Source organism: Homo sapiens, chromosome 14, assembly GCF_000001405.40.
Source record: "Homo sapiens chromosome 14, GRCh38.p14 Primary Assembly".
Lineage (NCBI taxonomy): Eukaryota > Metazoa > Chordata > Mammalia > Primates > Hominidae > Homo > Homo sapiens.
The window spans coordinates 64,477,532-64,498,833 of NC_000014.9; the positions used below are offsets into that span (position 1 = coordinate 64,477,532).

Sequence of the window (21,302 nt, forward strand, 5' to 3'; positions counted from 1 at the left end):
TAGGAATACTGTTGAGATTCACTCCCCTCGAATCTTTGATCTGCATTTTAAAACCTCTTCCCTTGCCTTTGCAAATATGTTTTCACCTTCAAAAAGTAACAGGTGTGACTTCACTTTCTACAGAACCACTCCAGGTTCTTCAGGTTTTCCTCCCTATATGGTAGTTACCATAAATGCCAGTTCAAAAAAAAATTTTTTTTTAATTACCTGCATATGGTTTGGACTAAGTTTCACATGGCTTCCACTATAGAAAAAATGTGGCAGTGCTAAATACACAAGATCCCATTCCTCAAAGGCCTGCTGGATGCACATAAATCTGACACGGAACCTCCTGAAACTTGTTAATAACACAGACCAGACAAGGGATGACGACCACAGTGGGTGAGAGCCATCTTCTCCAGCCCCCTGGCACAAGCCTCTCCTGTTTCCAGGACAGTGGGAACACACCATTTGTACAGAGAATCTCTCTTGGAGGACTGTCATTCCTTCAGACGTTTGACATGAAAGGACACCATGGTGTTCCAGTAGCTTAATACTTTATTATTTTGATACAATATCACCAAATTGTTTCAATGAAAAACGTTTCAAACAGCGGAAGAGAATGTATCTGAGGGAGAGTGGGCTCATTTTCCAAGTTGGCTTATCAGCTGTAAAATAAACTTAGGAGAAGCAACTGGTGATTAGGTACAAAGTCCTAGGATGATGAGAATAATATTGTAATCAGAAATGAAGGGGGAGGCAGGCTGTATTCACTTAGTATTGGAAGGTGAGAAGAGCTGAAGGTAAGAAAACTCTTAACTTATTCAGAATGGAATGGGTTGGAAAGTATGAGAGAAGAAAGTCAGTTGTTGAACCACAGTTGGAAAAGAAAGTAAATTTCAGTAGGTAACATACCTCATAGATTGTGGATGTACAAAAAATGAACAAAAGGCAAGAAAGGAGCAAGGGAGCGTATTTACTCAAATGTCCTTCAATCTATGTCTTGACCAGGCAGAACACCAAAAACTGAGTGTGATGCCTGATTAAAAGAGCCCAAATTCCAAGGCCTCACAGTTAATGGCTTGGAAAAATCTTCAGAAATGCTCAATGTAGCACAATAATGTGATATTTTAAAAAGTTATCTGCTGAGATATGTACATGTAAATCAGAAGCATCTTGATTAAAGAGGGATGTCAAGATATTGCAGTACCTTATGAAATTTTAAGAAAATTCTCATTAGTCTTGACTCTATAAAGCATGATCCAAAAGTAGCTAAGCCCTAAATAATATTTACTATTAATAGTAATGCTGAATTCAAGTATAATGAACATTTTTTTAAAGGTACACTGGTGCCACCTTTTGGCCAGATTAAAAATTCACAGAAATTATAACCTACAATCTCAATTTCATGAAGAGACCTCTTTGGGGAGACAATTATTTAGTTCAAACATTATATGAATAGATTCAAAACTGTCTTGCTGATTAATACATCTCTGATTTTTAATAATCACATTTTTTCCTTTTATTTCTAATAATCACATTTTTATCTTTTAAAAGCTGGGATCAAGGATAATACAAATAGAATTTAATTCTGAACACATCTCATACTCCAATACTTGCTCTAAACATGACTAGAATAGAAATCCCCCAAATTGGGTTTCTTTGTATTCTTTTATTCCTGACAGCCATCACAAAACTTACTTTAAGGTCTCAGAAGGGTTGGTCAACCTCAGCTCTAATGACATTTTGAGGTACATATTCTGTATTGCGGGAGGCTGTCCTCTGCACTGAGATGTTTAGCAGCATCCCTGGCCTCCACCTACTAGATGCCAGCAGCAGCCTCCCTCATCGCCCACCCAACTGTGACAACCAAAAACATCTCCACATCGTCAAATGTCTCTATGGGGGGGGATAGCCCTGTGTAATGTTTAATTTTATGTGTCCAAATGACTGGGCCATGGGCTGCCCCAATAGTTAGTCAAACATTATTCTGGGTGTGTCCGTGAGGGTGTTCTGGAGGGAGACAAAATCTGAATCAGTAGACTGCGTAAAGAAGATCACCCTCCCTGATGTGGGTGGCTCTCATTCCATCAGTTGAAGGCCAGAATATAATAAAAAAAGAGACTTTCTCTGGCCTGACTGCTTGAGCTGCAATTATCGGTCTTTTCTTCCCTTTGGACCCAAATGGAAACATCAGCTCTTCTTGAGTTTCAAGCCTGCCAGCTTTTGGACTGGAACTTATGCCATAAGCTCTCCTGGTTCTCAGGTCTTCAAATTCAGATTGGAACATCACTGACTCCCCAGCCTCTCAGCCTCCCAACTGCAGATCTTGGGACTTCTCAGCCTCCATAATTACATGAACCTATTCCTTATAATCAATCAATCTCTTTCTCTCTCTCAGTTCTACCTGTTGTTTCTTTCTTTTTCTGGAGAATCCTGACTAATATACCTCAGTTGAGAACTACTATTGTGGATCATGTTACTGGGGGCAAAAGGCGATACAGTAGACTGTAAATAGAGAAGAAAGAAGCAGCTGGGCGCGGTGGCTCACGCCTGTAATCCCAGCACTTTGGGAGGCTGAGGCAGGTGAATCACAAGGTCAGGAGTTCGAGACCAGCCTGGCCAACATGGTGAAACTCCGTCTCTACTAGAAATACAAAAAATTAGCCGAGTGTAGTGGTGGGAACCTGTAATCTCAGCTACTCGGGAGGCTGAGGCAGGAGAATAGCTTGAACCTGGGATGTGAAGGTTGCAGTGAGCCGAGATCACTCCACTGTACTCCAGCCTGGGCAACAGAGCAAGACTCCATCTCAAAAAAAAAAAAAAAAAAAAAAAAGAAGAAGCAAAGCAAGAAACTTCTGGGAAATGACGAAATACTACCTTTCTTTCCAGAGACAGCAGTTGGAAAGCATTTGATTAGGACGTCAATTTTCGATTAACACAGATTATGGTCGGTAAGAATTAGGTCCACAAATGCATTTTTGCATCACACCTCCAAAATGTTACCCAGTACAAAGACTACTTGCCTCAACACTAGGAACACAACATTTGGCAAACACTGATGTAAAATAAGAACACATTCTATAAGCTAAGCTAATAAACTTGTTTTTGATTAAGTCACATTAATTTGTCTTGATAAAATATATGAAATTCATTGTTTCTTGCTCTGTCGCCAGGCTGGAGTGCAGTGGCGCAATCTCGGCTCACTGCAACCTCCGCCTCCCGGGTTCAAGCAATTCCTCTGCCTCTGCCCCCCTAGTAGCTGGGACTGCAGGCACGTGCCACCACACCCAGCTAATTTTTTGTGTTTTACTAGAGACAGGGTTTCACCATGTTGTCCAGGATGGTCTCGATCTCCTAACTTCATAATCCGCCCGCCTTGGCCTCCCAAAGTGCTGGGATTACAGGTGTGAGCCACCACACCCTGCCTTTTTTTTTTTGAGACGGAGTCTCACTCTGTCGCCCAGGCTGGAGTGCAATGGCGCAATCTCGGCTCACTGCAACCTCCATCTCCCGGGTTCAAATGATTCTGTCTCAGCCTCCCAAGTAGCTGGGACTACAGACGCGCACCACCACACCTGGCTTATTTTTGTATTTTTAGTAGAGACAGGGTTTCGCCATGTTAGCCAGGCTGATCTTGAACTCCTGACCTCTGGTGATCCGCCCACCTCGACCTCCCAAAGTGCTGGGATTACAGGCGTGAGCCACTGCCCCTGGCCAAAATTTTTGGCAGAGATGAGGTCTCACTATATTGCCCAGGCTGGTCTCGGACTCCTGGGCCTTGGCCTCCCAAAGTGCTGGGATTACAGGCATGAGGCACCATGCCCGGCAGATACACAACTTTCTAAAAGAATGTTTCTGAAGCAAATTCACAGTACATTAGGTGGATGAGTTTAGCCACACAATGTATTATTGATTTTGGTCTCCTGTATTAGCTATGTGTTACATGTACTTTGAAGATTTTTCAGTGGGTCTTTTTTATTGAACAAGTTTTTATAATCTAAGTTTATTTTAAAGTATAAGTTTATATTTGATCCATTCTGACTAAATGACTTTATTTAGCACAAAATAGAGGAGTTGATGACAGTTAATGTCAATTGCACCAGACCAATACTTAACTAATTAATCAAGTGCAGTACAAATACATACTGAAGCACAATGAATTCTTCCAGGTCTTCAAGACAAAAATCACAGTTTGTAATTCCTTGTATTTAAGACATCCAGGTTTGGGACTGTGCAATCTCACCAGTTTTCAAAATGTCCAACCATACAAACACAGAAGTACAGCAGAGAGAAATCATTTACAGACTTCACTCTTAAGAAATCAAAAATTAATAATTTAAGTGCCACAAATCTATATGTAGTTCAAAATATACAAAGACACAAATTACATTATGAAAATTCTTCACATGGCCCATTTTTACATCAATTACTACAAAAAATGGACATTTATCAAGTATCTGACTCACAACATCAAGAATGTGCCTGTACAAATAAATGTTAACGAAATTACACATTTTTCACACTATCTTTTTCCACGATTAATATGTATTTCCTTCAATTTTCAGTGAAGACTTTTCTAATAATACTATTATTACCTTCACCCCATTTCCTGTCCTCATCTACTATTTAGATCACCTACATCAAAGAAATAAAAATAGGCTGGGCCCAGTGGCCCATACCTGTAATCCCAGCACTTTGGGAGGCTGAGATAGGCAGATCACAAGGTCAGGAGTTCGAAACCAGCCTTGCCAACATGATGAAACCCCATCTCTACTAAAAATACAAAAATTAGCTGGGTGTGGTGGTGCGTGCCTATAGTTCCAGCTACTCGGGAGGCTGAGGAAGAAGAATCGCTTGAACCTGGGAGGCGGAGGTTGCAGTGAGCCGAGATCGCACCACTGCACTCCAGCCTGGGCAACAGAGCGAGACTCCGTCTCAAAAAAGAAAAAAAAACAAAGGTATTTATTTATTGTTTTTGTTCCTTTTCCTTTGTGTAAACAAAAACAATATATTTGGGAGAACTTTCAATAAAGCTGAAATTGACAAAGTTTTATTCCCAATAATGCCAAAGAACTAGTATCCTCCTTACTGAAGGCTAAAAAGAAACAGTGATGATTAAATTACAGTAGAACAGGAATTCTAGCAACAGTATTGTTTCTAGTTATTTGTAAAAAATAACAATGAGTTCTGTCAATTAGTTATTGAATATTAGATAGTACATTACTGCTTTTAAGAACATTTTAGAATTTATAGGCTGAAATACTAAAGTTAATAGGTCTAGCTACAGAATAAATGTCGTTTATATGGTTGATTTTAATCAATAATACTGAGAGAACTTAACACGTTTAATATAAATCCTCACAACACCCCTGTGAGGTAAGTATTGCTTACACCCACTTTACGGATGGGAAATCAGAAAGAGCAAGAAGTAACAATCTCAAGAGTTATAAATAAAAAAATTTTTTGTTTTCTTATAAGGCAGACTGTGCTGAGTTCTGATGATACGCTAATAAGAACAAATACTAAAACAGTCTCTATTTTTCTCCAGAAAACAACTGCGTGAGATTTCAAAAGAAGGAAAAATTTTAAGCTGACTCAAGGGGAAAATGTTTAGTATCTGCCTGATACACACGAAAGTGCATATGACATTTCCAGTTTCAAGCTTGGTAATCATTATGCAAACTGCACTATACTATTAGGATACTGGCTAACAGTATAGCTCCATTTTGTGGAGATGTAGTCAAAAAATAAAGGTTTTAGCTGGAAGAACTTTTTTTTTTTTGAGATGGAGTCTCGCTCTGTCACCCAGGCTGGAGTGCAGTGGTGCGATCTCCGCTCACTGCAACCTCTGCCTCCCGGGTTCAAGCTATTCCACTGCCTCAGCCTCTCGAGTAGCTGGGATTACAGGTGTGTGCCACCACACCCGGCTAATTTTTTGTATTTTTAGTAGAGACGCGGTTTCACTGTGTTAGCCAGGATGGTCTGGATCTTCTGACCTCGTGACCCGCCCGCCTCGGCCTCCCAAAGTGCTGGGATTACAAGCATGAGCCACCACGCCTGGCCTAGCTGGAAGAACTTTTAAAATACAAAGCAAATTTTCTCAGTGAGCAATCATGTCTTTAAAAAATAATACTCAGGGCACAGTGTTAGGCATATGACAGTTACTTTAAAAAATGCCTGCAGACCCGGGCGCGGTGGCTCATGCCTGTAATCTGAGGCAGGCAGATCATGAGGTCAGGAGCTCGAGACCATCCTGGCCAACATGGTGAAACCCTGTCTCTACTAAAAATACAAAAATTAGCTGGGCATGGTGGCACATGCTCAGGAGGCTGAGGCAGGAGAATCACTTGAATTCGAGAGGCGGAGGTTGCAGTGAGCTGAGATTGCACCACTGCACTCCAGCCTGGCGACACAGCACGACTGTCTCAAAAAAAAAAAAAAAAAAAAAAAAAAAAGCCTGCAGAATAAATGAAAACAACAATAACAAAAACTGGGGGTCAGTCCCACACCACTATTCACTGCATCTCTGGAATTCAGCTTTTGGGATTTTTTTTCTATAAAATGAAGTTGATATTTTCCCACTTCCTAAACAGAATGAATGTTTTAAGGAACAAGGAAAGAGCATTTGCTTTGAATTTCTAATATTAAAAGGAACTATAAGAATAGAAATACAGTTAACCACTATTTTCTTAACTCTCAACGAACAGATATATTTCTGCTTTAAATGAGTGTTGTCTATCACGGCCAATCAGCTGCTAGCAAACTCTTACCATTTATCCAAACTCTGCCCTGAGGCACTTGCTGTCTTATCCAACCAACCATGTACAACTCTACCTCCACCCTTTAGCTATATACAAGGATTTCCTGTGTCAAAGAATAATGAGTGGGCCTGGCACGGTGGCTCACACCTGTAATCCCAGCACTATGGGAGGCCGAGGCTGGTGCATGACCTGAGGTCAGGAGTTCCAGACCAGCCTGACCAAGATGGTGAAACCCTGTCTCTGCTAAAAACACAAAATTAGCTGGGTATGGTGGTGCATGCCTGTAATCCCAAGCTACTTGGGAGGCTAAGGCAGGAGAATCGCTTGAACCCAGGCAGCAGAGATTGCAGTGAGCCGAGATCACGCCATTGCACTCCAGCCTGGGCAACAAGGGTGAAACTCCATCTTAAAAAAAAATTAAATTAAAAAAATAATAATAATGAGTAGGCAAACAGGGAAGAATATAGAGGAGAAAAATTATCTTAATAAGAACAATAGAATTTGAATTGAAGAAGGCTAGGAAATATATCTTAACTAGCCTAAAATACAAAAAATCAATGTTAATACTTGTGTTCTTCCAATGAGATGATATTTTTGAGGGCAGTACAAATTTCAATAGTTGCTTAAGTGAATTGGTAGAAAAAAGTTTAAGATTAGACAAAGTTCTGACCCCAAAGAACATACATTTGTTTTAATTACTCCCAATACAATTGATCTTATCAAGTTAGATGTGCTCTCAACACACATCAGTCTTAACCATAGGAGCCTTTACTCACTTGTTTAAGGCAGAAACTCAACTGCCTTACACAATATCCAGTAGCTTTCTTCATTCAATCCTCAAGAAAAACTTACCACTTTGTAATTTACCTAAACTGTTTACCTAGAGAAAACCTTTGTGTCCTTAGAATTAGCTGGATTACTCTTTGAGCTCCCTCCTGATTGGACGCTGATGCTGTTGAATGTGTCAGGAAACGTCCTCAGAAGTGGAGGGAGCTCAAGAGTTTTGTAAGTGGTTAAATTCTAAGGCTCACAAACCAAATTTTTTAGATGTATTCAAATGCCCGTGAAGCTTAGAATTTAACAAGAGGGCAAAAAAAGATGAGTCTGTTTTATTATCCTTGACTATGCGGGGTTTGAAATTTAAACATTTCAGAAACAATTTAGATCTATCCTTTGTGGTGAAGCTTAACCAGCTATTTCCCAGGTATATAGAGCCGGGGAATCTGTTATTTCTTTCATCAACTTTAATTTTCCTGGGGTTTTAGCTTTGTAAGTGTCACCATTATAAAAGAGAGTTAAGTTGATTTATAGAGGAAAAGCTAACATCATGGATCTTAAATGTAGTTATAGAACACTGAATGTATCCACTTTGCTGGTTTTATGGATCAGGAAAAAAGTGAAAACTGTGCCACTGAAAAATTACTTTTTCAGTGATTTTTAGAAAATTAAAATCAACCCAGGAAGCCCCAAAAATCCTGACGCTGAGGGTAGAAACATGATTTATATTTTATCATCATTCTCTTTCAACTCATGTAAACCTCTGGTCATAAAATCTCAAATTACTTTTTAAGGTGTCTAAGAAAACACTCTAGACCAAGTTAACAACCCTGGGGTTTTTAGTCAATGCAGTTCTAGCTCAGTCTCTGTCTCTGCATGCTTATTTATCTATGTGTGTATATCTTACTGTTTCTTAAATATTTTTTAATGTCTCTCTGACTCTTCTCCCTTTAACTGTTTTTTTTATTAAAAATGAGATATACCACATCTGTAATCCCAGCACTTTGGGAGGCCAAGGCGGGCAGATGACGAGGTCAGGAGATCGAGACCATCCTGGCTAACACGGTGAAACCCCGTCTCTACTAAAAAAATACAAAAAAATTAGCTGGGCGTGGTGGCGGGCGCCTGTAGTCCCAGCTGCTCAGGAGGCTGAGGCAGGAGAATGGCGTGAACCCGGGAGGCGGAGCTTGCAGTCAGCCGAGATCGCGCCACTGCGCCCCAGCCTGGGCGACACAGAGAGACTCTGTCTCAAAAAAAAAAAGAGGTATACTCAATGTTAAAAAGTAAAGAGAAGCCATGTAGGTAAGATGTTGTGGAGCTAGTAGTTAAAAAATAAAACTACTCATGATTTGGTATATCTTAAAATAAATTTTTATACATTATAACATATGTATAACATACAGTTATGCATTAAAGTAACTATTAATTTCCTATATGGAAGAAAATATTTAAAAATAATCCTGGTAGGAGTGAATTCATGTGAAATGTAGGCAGAAGTGATAGTTTAGAATATGCTTTAAAACAGATTTCATTTACTTTATATTCAATTTGATTTTACTGATTCTATAACTGGAAAAACTTAGAATTCTATAAATAACTATTTAAGGTTTCCATATTTCTACATTGATTTCTGATTTCTAAATTGTTATTTCGTTTGTGAAAAGTTCACAGTAGTAATTGAATGTTACATTTTAATAGCCACATATTAATATGTCTTATGAGAAGATCTAATATATACAACCTTAAAACCATGGATAAGCTGTGAAGAAAAAAAGTCAATGAAACTTGAGGAGGAAAATAATTTATGAATTAAAAATGCCACGCAAATTTTCTTTTTCAGAATTGGTATAAAAATTCTGAAAGAGAAGCTGCTACTCAACTAGGATAGTATCCACATTTTCTTGTGTGAGCTCTGACTCTAAGGCACAAGGCAAGTCTAAGTGTTCTTGTGACAAGCGAGAACTTTTCAGGGAGACATCAGACCAGCTGTCACAGTATGGCTGAAATCTCTGGGCCAATGCATTACCAAACCTTTGGCATCGGTTATATCTGTAAGATTTACCTTTGTGTGTATACATGTGTTCCAACAATTGGCTCTTTCGAGGGAATTTATGACCACAGATGGTACAGCTCATTTTTCTTTTCCTTGAAAAAGAAAAATTACAGTTTAATTCTACTGGCTCTGTGTCTTTGGAGATCAAAGATACTTGACTGATCTGCAAAGGCTCTGTGGTACCCCGGTTGGTGTGGTCTGGCTGCTGTTCATTCTCCTTAACAATGAAGGAGCTGAGCCTGCGGCATTCAAGGGCCTCGCTGTTTTCATTAAGGGGATGCACTTCACCAAGGTCATTACTTTCCAGAATGGAAGCAGGGACACCGAATGGCAGGGATCCAGACACATGTGTATGGAGATGTTGCCTTAGGTTACTACGGGAATCAAAACGTTCCCCACAGTAATGGCATAAGTGTATTTTGACACTGTTTTCAGTAAAAGTGGGGCCTGTCACCTCTGATGAGGGTGAGGGGTGGCTCTGGGAGATCACAGATTCTGGGTCACATCTCTCCTGCTTGATGGAAACTGGGGGCTTCTGGTGCTCCTCCAGGGCCTGGGTGGCAGGACAGGCCCTCTGCTGGTCTGCAGTGCCATCATCCAGACCAATAGCAAGAGACAACTGCAACTGGGGGTGGTCACCCTGGACAGCAGCTCTGTTTCCACTGTTACTGGAAGGAGCTTCTTTGACCTCCAGTCCTTGTTTGACAACTGTTTTTTGGGTTGTTGAGATCTGAATGCCATATAAATTTGAGGACTGCACAGTCTCTGGTGAGAACACTTGATTCATTTCAGTTGCAATGTGAGAAAGGTAGTCGGCGTGAAGAAATCGAATCCCTTCCTCCAAACGACTATGATCCACAATCTGTTTTGGCCCTTTCCCCGTGTACATAATGTGCAACAAATAGCTGAATATGTCAGGTTGGATGTCAGTTGGTTGTATTTTTATGCATTCACTGTTAAAAACAAAAACAGACCCACAAGAAATGAAACACAACCTAGCTGGCCTTTCAGTTAACAGTATAGTCTGAGACTAAAGCAATTTCTTCCTAAGAAGTTCGAACCTAGCAATCTGCCTTAATAAAACATGGCAACAAAGGCTTAAACTTTCATTTTATACCAACTTTATGGCCTAGCAAAAAGTCTTCATGTATTCAATCTACTGCCTAAAGTTAGGAAACACAGACATACATTCTGAATAGTTCAACATTAATCAAGTGACTCCTAAGTGATATGCACTATACTAGATGCCAGCGGTAGAAAACTGATGAATAAAATAGGTACCTGCTCTTAAGGAATTTAACAGTCTATCAAGTAAACGATCAAAAGAACTAAAAACAGGGACTCAAACAGATACCTGTATGCCAATGTTCACTGCAACATTACTTACAGTAGCCAAAAGGTAGAAAGAAGCTGAGTGTTCACCAAAAGATGAGTGGATAAACACAAGATGGCTTACACACACAATGGAATATTATTCAACCATAAAAAGAAGGAAGTTCTGATACATGCTACAACATGGAGAACCCAGAAAATATCATGCTAAGTAAAATAAGCCAGACACAAAAGGACAAGTATTATATAAAATATCTAGAATAGGCAAATTCATAGAGATAGAAAGTAAATTAGCGGTTTCTGGGGGTTGAGAGGGTGAGATGGGGAGTTATTGCTTAATGGGTACAAAGTTTCTGTTTGGGGTGATAAAAAAGTTTTGGAAATAGACAGTGGTAATGGTTGTACAACATTGCGAATGTGATTATCACCACTGCATTGTATAATTAAAAATGGTTAAAATGGCAAATTTTATATGTTTATAGCCACAATAAAGATATCTTAAAACTTCTGAAAGAACCTATTGAAATCAGCAGGGTGCGGTGGCTCACGCCTGTAATTCCAGCACTTTGGGAGGCCGAGGCAGGTGGATCATCTGAGGTCAGGAGTTCAAGAGGAGCCTAACCAACATGGTGAAACCCTGTCTCTACTAAAATTACAAAAAATTAGCCGGGTGTGGTGGCGCACACCTGTGGTCCTAGCTACTAGGGAGACTGAAGCAAGAGAATTGCTTGAACCTGGGAGGCGGAGGTTGCAGTGAGCTGAGATCATGCCACTGCACTTCAGCCTGGGCACCACTGCACTCCAGCCTGGGTGACAGAGCTAGACTCCGTCTCAAAAAAAATAAAAATAAAAAATAAAAAAAACAAAAGTGTTATATGAAACAAAAATTAACAGCTTAGTGACTAAAAGCATAGACATAGCTTCAGACAAATCTGCATCTAACTTATTAGCTGTATAATCCTGCATGGGCATGTTACTTAACTCAGTCTCAGTTTTCTTTTTCCTGAAATAGGGACAGCAGTAGAATTTACATTATAGGGCAAATACTTAGTGCTTGGGTATGGGATAAGCCTTCAATAAATTTTAGCTATTCTTTCCTTTTTCTTTTTTTTTTTTTGAGACAGAGTCTCGCTCTGTCACCCAGGCTGGAATGCAGTGGCGCGATCTCGGCTCACTGCAACCTTCACCTCATAGGTACACGCAATTCTCCTCCCTCAGCCTCCCGAGTAGCTGGGACTACAGGCGCCCACCACCATGCCTGGCTAATTTTTGTATTTTTAGTAGAGACGGGGTTTCACCATATTGGCCAGGCTGGTCTCGAACTCCTGACCTTGTGATCCGCCCACCTTGGCCTCCCAAAGTGCTGGGATTACAGGCGTGAGCCATGGCGCCCAGCCAATTTTAGCTATTCTTATTTTCATTCTTATTTTCCATTATGGATCCTACACACTGAGTTTAATTACTAATGTATAAAAAATTATTATAATTTGGCCAGGCATGGTGGCTCATGCCTGTAATCCCAGCACTTTGGGAGGCTGAGGCAGGCGGATCACCTGAGGTCAGGAGTTTGAGATCAGCCTGGCCAACATGGTGAAACCCTGCCTCTACTAAAAATACAAAAATTAACCGGGCGTGGTGGCAGGCGCCTGTAATCCCAGGTACTCGGGAGGCTGAGGCAGGAGAATCGCTTGTACCTGGGAGGCAGAGGTTGCAGTGAGCCGACACTGAACCATTGCACTCCAGCCTGGGTGACAGAGCAAGACTCTGTCGCCAAAAAAAAAAAAAAAAAAAAAAAAAAAAAAAAAAAATTATAATTTTACTTCTTAGTGTGACTCCGTAACAAAGAATTTCCAAAATGATACTATAATAAAGCTTATATAAATCACAATATTAAAAATTCTTATTTACAAAAACACATCCTTACCTTGTTTGGTGAATAAATATCATCTTGAAATAGTTAGAAAAAGCAGCAAGCACTGCTCTGTGGGCTTTGAAGTAAACATCTCCAATTGCAACTGTGCAATCACACAGAAAACCAAATTCTCGCTGCATGTTCAGCTGCTGGAGAAGAACAAGGCTATGGCTGGCAGTGTCCATTGTGGTTCTGAAAAAAAGGACAAGATAAATGTAGATAGGTGTGTATGTATATACGCATTATTTTTTATTAATACAAAATTGTCTACAGTTCACACAAACCTACAGAGTAACAAGGAGATCTAAATTTAAATGAAATTATTCAAGTTTTCAATCCTATTACTTTCACTGCAAACACGGCTAACACTAAATTCCTCCATTATGACAACTGATATAAACTCTGCTGAACCATAAAATATGACCCTTTTTCATCTGGTAAGAAGATAGCTTGGTATGAGTGACACATGAAGACAGACCTGTCCTTTTCCATCTATGTGAACACAATGTTTCTAATCTTGTTTCCTCATTAGAAAAATGAAAATGAGATACTGATTCCTGCCTCAGAGTTAAATAACTTATGTGAAAATCATGTTGTAATGGAAACTGCTATTCGATGTTAGCTATAAATGTTAATAACATAACACGGTATCCTGGCTGAGCTAGAGATGTCACTCCTCCTCAGGGATCCTCTGGTGCTCAGGGGATACTGGCTTCCCAACTCTCATCAAATGTTTGGGGGACTTATCATCACAGTAGCTCAGGAACTCTTAAAATAGATGTCAAGCCACATCCCCAATTTACTTGTGGCCCAAGAGCCTCCTGAGAAAGAACTTAAGCTGGCGCAGTGGCTCATGCCTGTAATCCCAGCACCTTGGGAGGATGAGGCAGGAGGGTTGCTTGAGCCCAGGTATTGGAGACCAACCTGAGCAATATAGTGAAACGTCATCTCCACAAAAAATAAAACAATTAGCTAGGTATGGTGGCATGCACCTGTACTCCCAACTACTTGAGGGGCTGAGGCAGGAGGATCACTTAAGACTGGGAGGTCAAGGCTGCAGTGAGCTGTGATCACACCACTGCACTCCAGCCTGGGCAACAGTGAGACTCTGTCTCAAAAACACACACACACACACAAAAGAAAGAACTGATCTCAACTGGATTCAGACGCATATTATAATGTAGGTTCCCAAAGGAAGTAAAAGGCAAGGTGGAACAACTGCGGGGAAGCCTATATGAGGAAGAACATGCAGAATTCTGGCCAAGAAGCCGAGTATAAGCAGCAAAAACATTCAGAAGTGCCCTGGTTTCAGGCAGGTGGCAGACTGTACATCATCTTCTCTACCCTACTGTGGAGAGAGCCCTGGTACTTTAGGCAGAAGGTAGCTGTAGTATAAAGGGCATCATTGGGTGGCCAGGAGAACATCCTTTGAAAGAGCAGACACTGAAAAAGAGAATGAGGTTTCCACACCAGCCAGCCAGACCAAGGTCTAAGGAGGTCAGTGATGTAATGCAGGGTTAGCCGTCTAAAGATTGGCAGTGGCTTGGGCAGCAGACAGCTAAGTGATCAGTAATATAATAAATATAGCTAACATTTTATAGTGCTTCCTATGTGTCAAAAATTAGCCAGGCACGGTGGTGCATGCTTTAGTCCCAGCTACTTGGGTGGATGTGACAGGAGGATAGCTTTAGCCAGGAAGATTGAGGCTACAGTAAGCCATGATCATGCCACTGCACTTCACCCTGGGTGACAGAGCAAGACCCTATCTCAAAAAAAAAAAAAAAAAAAAAAGGCAGACTCTATTAAAACTACATATTTAATGTACTGATGTGGAATAATCCCCAAGTTATATTATTATTATTATTATTATTATTTGAGACGGAGTTTTGCTCTTGTTGACCAGGCTGGAGTGCAACGGCTCCATCTCGGCTTACTGCAACCTCCGCCTCCTGGGTTTAAGCGATTCTCCTGCCTCAGCCTCCCAAGTAGCTGGCATTACAGGTGCCCGCCACCATGCCCAGCTAATTTTTGTATTTTTAGTAGAGACGGGAGTTCACCATGTTGGCCAGGCTGGTCTCAAACTCCTGACCTCAGGTGATCTGCCCACCTCAGCCTCCTAAAGGCATGAGCCACCGTGCCCGGCCTAACAAACTAAAAATCTGTATTGACAATTTCAGCATGTGAAAAACGTGTCTTAGAATCAATGAAATGGTTCATATTGAAGCATCTTAAACTAGCCTGATAAGTTGTCTCAAAAAAAAAAAACAAAACCAAACCCTCGGATCATAAACATTTTCACCAGTTCTTCCCATTATATTGAACTACTGAACCATAGGGAAATGAGACATAGCACACTAATAAGCCACCCATACAGGAATCTTATGGTTAATGGTCTGTTGGTAACAGTTAAATTCTTCACTTATTCAACAGATATTTTTGAAGAGCAATTTAATAAAGAAAAAATGTGTAAAAGCCTGCATTGTACAAGGCGTGGAGACAGAAAAAAATGACAAGATGCTACACTCAAGATTACAGGCTCACAGGAAAGATAAAACATCAAACCATAATTATAATATGAAATAAATGCATTCAGTAGCACAGAGCAGTTAGAGAACATGCTATCAGAGGGAGATAAACACAGGCAACTTGATGGGAAACAAGGCCAGGCAGAAAAAATAAAATGAATAAAATTACTGGGAAGAATATGAATAGTTAGATAACAGAAGGATTCAGCTTGGCATAGAAAAAAAAAGTAACAGAAATAATGAAATGTGGTCAGTTCAAAAAGCATACAGAATATAAGACTAAAAAGTAGTGTCGTGTTTGAAGTGAACTATGTAAGATGTTTGAGTAAGAACAGCATGATCAGTTAACTTACTCTGTGGGAGGGAGAACAGAGCGTGGTAGTTAAAGCTTGAACTAAAATCAGACAGCTTAAAATTTTAGCTCTGCCATTTACTAGCTGCGTGGTCTTGGCAAGACACTTAACTCTCTGGGCCTCCATTTCACTTATAAAATATGGACAATGACAGTATCTAACTTATAGGTTATTTGAATTTAATGATATAATGCACTTAGAAACAGTGGGCCCACAGTTAGTGCCTAATAAATACTAGGCATTATCATCATCACCATCATTAGGCGTGAGTAAAGACTGCTCTAACAGCAACATATAAAAAATATTAGCAAGGGAAAAGGCATGGAGAAAGACTGGCTAGGAGCCTACTATGGTATCAAAGTAATCGCAGTGGGAATGAAGGAAGGAATACAAGAGATACATCAGACACAAAACTGACATGACTTGTCACCACAGAGATCAAATCAAAGGTGAGTCTCAGAATTCCAGCTTGGGTAATTGGAAGAATTCATCCATTCCTTCAGATTACATTTTCAGAGTAACTGCCATGTGCTAGGTGTTGATATAAAGGCAGAGTCCCAGAACATTAGAGAAGAAGTACAGAAACCGTCTTGATAAGAGGTTCTGAGACCCCACCTCAAAAAAAAAAAAAAGAAGAAGAAGAATAGGGGTTTCACTTCAGACACTCTGAGCTCCAAGTGTCTACCAGGTATCTAAGTAGAAATGTTTAGTGATCAGCGGGGACAAGAAGCAGGACAGGGCTCTAGAGAGAGCAGAGCCAGAGAGGGAGAAGAGGCCTCTGAAACGACAAGGCTGAAGTAACCAAGTATGAAAATAATAAAGTAGACTAAAAAGTAGAATGAAATAAGAGGGAAAAAAGCTAAGAATGAATCTTTGGAAAACAGAAAAGACAAAATAAGACAGAGGAGGAGAAAAAAGAAAACATCGTCATTGAGGAAAGGCAATGACCTTGCAGAAAGGAGATGGCAATGGTGCAAAACACTGAAGAGAAACATGGGGGTGAGGCCCATTACAAACATGTCGAGTGTACTGACCAAAAGATTCCTGGTAACCTCTGACAATAGTACAGGAAAGCAGCAAGGGCCAAATATCTGACTGCAGGGGATATTAGAAACCAGAGGCTAGGCCAAGCGCAGTGGCCCACGCCTGTAATCCCAGCCCTTTGGGAGGACAAGGTGAGTGGACCACTTGAGGCCAGGAGTTTGAGACCAACCTGAACAACATGGTGAGACCCCGTCTCTACTCAAAATACAAAAATTAGCCAGGTGTGGTAGCACATGCCTGTAATCCCAGCTACTTGGGAGGTTGAGGCAGAAGAATCACTTGAACCCAGGAGGCAGAGGTTGCAGTGAGCTGAGATCCACTGCACTCCAGCCTGGGCAACAGAGCGAGACTCTGTCTCAAAAAAAAATAAAAAAATAAAAATAAAGAAACCAGAGGGTATAAAGCTTAGACACAGACATGACAGGACAGGACATTAAGGAAGCTGCAGATCAGAAGACCCAAACATACCTCTTCCCTTTACATATGAAAGAAACCTGGAGTAATAAACTCTGAAACTTACATAGAGCACTGAAGTTTACAGAGAACTTTCATATACAATAACTTATTTCTCTACTTCAGATTAGATAATTTCTATTAATCTATCCTCAAATTAAATGACTTATCTGTCATATCTGATCTGTTAAATCTATTCAAGATTGTTTCAGATATTGTATTTTCAGATGTAAAATTTTCATTTCATTCTTTTTTAAAGTTTCTAATTCTCTGCTGAGATTTCCTATTTGTTCACATATACAACATTTTGCTTTACATCCTTGAGCATAGTTATAATAGCTGCTGCTTTAAATCTTCTCTGCTAAATCCAACCTTTGGCTAATTATGGGGTCAGTCTCCACTGATTAGGGTGATTGTTTCTGGATTATAGTCTAGGTATTGTGATTAATACAATTCACTCTAGATTCTGTAATATTCTTCCAAAGAGTGTTTGTGTTTTTGTTTTTTGCAGACAATTACCTTAGCTGGACTTAAACTCCAAGTTCTGCCTCCCCTATGGTGGACAGCAGCTGAAATCTCTGCTCCTTTAGCCTTAAGTGTGCTGTTTGGAGGCTGCTCCACACATGTACAGTTGAGGGGTTTGCAAGAAATTCAAGCAGAGTTTATAAACAGTGTTTGGGGTTCTGCCACTCCAACATTCTTTCTAGGATTTTCTCCTGCACTTTCCAGCTGCATGATCACTGTGAGCTCTGTCCTCTTTTCTTCAAGAGAGATTACAGGTTGTTATTACAGTTGTAGCCACCTCTTCATATCACCAGCTGGGACCTTATGCCAGTCTAAAAGCCATAAAAACAGAAGCTTATTCATTGCTGTTCTCCTCTTCCAGTTGCAGACCTCAATCTAGTTTTTGTAATTCTCAAATGCCATCTATTAATTTTTAAAACTTTTATCAGCTGGGCGTAGTGGCTCATGCCTGTAATCCCAGAACTTTGGGAGGCAGAGGCGGGCAGATCACCTGAGGTCGGGAGTTCGAGACCAGCCTGGCCAACATGGAGAAACCCCATCTCTACTAAAAATACAAAATTAGCGGGTGTGGTGGCACATGCCTGTAATCCCAGCTACTCTGGAGGCTGAGGCAGGTGAACTGCTTGAACCTGGGAGGCAGAGGTTGCGGTAAGCTGAGATCACGCTACTGCACTCCAACCTGGGCAACAAGAGCGAAACTCCATCTCAAAAGGAAAAAAAAAAAAAGTGTATCAAGTTTATAGTTATCTGCAGGAAACTGTCCTGATAGGAACTATTCAACCATTACCCCCTCCCCCAACATTGTGTTCTTTTTAAACGAAAGCAATTTATTAGAAAATAAATAAAAGAATGGCTACTCCATAGGCAGAGCAGCCCTACTCAACCATTACTGTTTATCAGCAGTTCTAAAAAGCTGTGGTCTCAAGATCCACTCACACTCTAAAAAGTATTACAGACCAGTCACGGTGGCTCACGCCTGTAATCCCAGCACTTTGGGAGGCCAAGGCAGGCGGATCACAAGGTCAGGAGTTCAAGACCAGCCTGGCCAACATGGTGAAACCCCGTCTCTACTAAAAATACAAAAAAAAAAGCTGGGCACAGTGGCGTGTGCCTGTAATCCCAGCTACTCGGGAGGCTGAGGCAGGAGAACTGTTTGAACCGGGACCTGGGAGGAAGAGGTTGCAGTGAGCCGAGATCACACCACTGCATTCCAGCCTGGGCTACAGAGCGAGACTCCATCTCAAAAAAAAAGTATTAGAGATTGTGAAGAGCTGTTGTTTATATAGGTTATATTTATCAATATTTACTATATTCAAAATTAAAAGAAATTTTAAAATATTTAAAATAGCAATAAACCCATTACATATTAACATATTTTTTCCTAAAAAATTTTTCAAAAACAAGTGAGAAGGGTGATATTAATTTACATTTTGCAATCCTCTTTAATATCTGGCTTTAACAGATACAGCTGGACTCTCTTATCTGATTCTGCATTCAATCTGTTGTCATCTCTTGTTTTGGTTCAAGTATATTGAGAATCTGTTCTTACATAAGGGAGATCCTTATTGACCCATGAAACCTCCAGTGGCTCCTTGGACTACACTTTGAGAACCACTGCCCTACACTATCTTTTTTTCTTTTAAATCTTGTGAGGTAGTAGAGCAGGTACTATCAGCTCTATTTTATGGCTGAGAAACCACAGGCTCAGAGAAGGCAGGAAACATACCTGAAGTCAAACAACTAGCTATTAAATGGTGCTGATAATACATCAAGACTGAGTTTAAACCCAGGGCCCTTTCTTCAAAACCCCATCTAGAACTTTCAACATTTACACTGTTGGCAGATTTTGCAAATATGTTGAATCAAATAAGGGAGTAAACTTTTCAAGTGTATAAAATGAAACAAATTAAAATCTATTAAAAAAAAAACACCAAGTACACATGAGGTGCATTCAAACTTGTTTTGCATAATAGGAGATCTTTGATGTTGTAATATACCAGATTTTACTTCAAATCAATAGCCCCATTCCATTGAGTTATTAGAACATTTTCTAATACAACCTACTCTGCAAATTATTAGCTAGACTTTTTGTATAGCCTTTGCTCATCATTCTTTGACTGTCTATTTTATTTTCTCTAGTATGTGAAATAGCTAAAGTTTCCCATGAATACAGAAAGAGCTTAGAAGTTACATTTGAGAATTTCTGGTGAGAATTTTAAGATGTGAGAGAAATTATGGAAAAATAAAGTATTTTATTATACTTATAAATACCAGAATCAAAATATGAGTGCTACATTTTTAAAAGTTTTATCTGTTATCAAAGTGATACATTATCATAATAGTTTTAGCATTGATATTTAAGAGATTACAAAAACCTTCTTTACCTTCTAGATTGTAGTAACTCTGGATTACTTCAAATTAAGATGGAACAACTTTATACTAGTATCTATGTTTGTTTAAAGCTGGCTTGATATTCAATACATATCTTTGATTCTTATGTATTTAGAAAAATCTACTGTACTAGACTGGACTCTCAGATCTATGGTAGCCAGCCGGATATCCTGGACTACACAGCTCTTCATTCTCTCAGGCTGTAAGAATCCTTAATAAAAAAGGAACAAAAAGAGCAAGACGACTGTTTCTGTAGGAAAACAGTCTTAGGTATTTTCTCTGTCAATGCTTACCACTGAGACTTTATGATGAATTTTCATTCAGACAAGGAGACAGGAAAGTTGGCAGAGGAATATGTACATCTTTTTTGAGCTACTTACTCATGGCTATAAATACAAAGGCAAAAGCAAAATATTTCAAGTGCCATATGATAAAAGACTTTATATAGCGACTAACTTTTTAATGGAACTTTCACATGACTGTAGAGGTGTGACATTTAATTATGTAGAGAATGAAACAATGTTTGTAGAAATCATTTTATCCTGAAACAGAGGTTCTTATTGCTGACTATACTGTAAAACCTTCTATGCAGAGCTGTATTGATGTCTGAGTCCCAACCCAGGCTTAGCCCAAACAGAATTGAATTGCTAGGGGTGAGGCACAGATTCTTTTTTTTTTTTTTTTGAGACAGAGTCTCGCTCTGTCGCCCAGGCTGCAGGCTGGAGTGCAATGGCGCGATCTCGGCTCAATGCAACCTCCGCCTCCTGGGTTCAAGTGCTTCTCCCGGACTCAGCCTCCTGAGTAGCTGGGATTACAGGTGCCCATCACGCCTGGCTAATTTTTATATTTTTAGTAGAGATGGGGTTTCGCCACGTTGGCCAGGCTGGTCTTGAACTCCTGACCTCAGGCGATCCGCCTGCCTTGGCCTCCCAAAGTGCTGGGATTACAGGCGTAGGCCACTGTTCCCGGCCAGATTGTTTATTTGTTTATTTATTTTTATTTTTATTTTTTTGAGACAGAGTCTCACTCTGTTGCCCAGGCTGGAGTGCAGTGGCACGATCTCGGCTCACTGCAAGCTCCGCCTCCCGGGTTCGCGCCATTCTCCTGCCTCAGCCTCCCGAGTAGCTGGGACTACAGGCGCCCACCACCACACCCAGCTAATTTTTTTGTATTTTTAGTCGAGACGGGGTTTCA

At 40.2% G+C, this 21,302-nt stretch overlaps 1 protein-coding gene across 11 annotated transcripts in view; it reads right to left on the bottom strand.

Annotated features, from left to right (window-relative positions):
- ZBTB25 (zinc finger and BTB domain containing 25) overlaps window positions 1-21,302 on the bottom strand; it is a 56,108-nt gene that overhangs the window by 28,426 nt on the left and 6,380 nt on the right. For 3 of the 11 annotated variants that reach the window (NM_001354682.2, NM_001354686.2, NM_006977.5), the window contains 2 exons: window positions 12,830-13,009; window positions 520-10,526 (listed from right to left, as the gene is read on the bottom strand). In NM_001354682.2, coding sequence (NP_001341611.1) covers window positions 9,392-10,526; window positions 12,830-13,009 — 1,315 coding nt within the window. In that variant the 3' untranslated portion in view covers window positions 520-9,391. Of the gene's footprint in view, window positions 1-519; window positions 10,527-12,829; window positions 13,010-17,711; window positions 18,029-20,401; window positions 20,462-21,302 lie in introns of those variants that run through there. The other 8 variants (NM_001354685.2, NM_001354684.2, NM_001354687.2 and 5 more) reach the window with 7 other exon arrangements.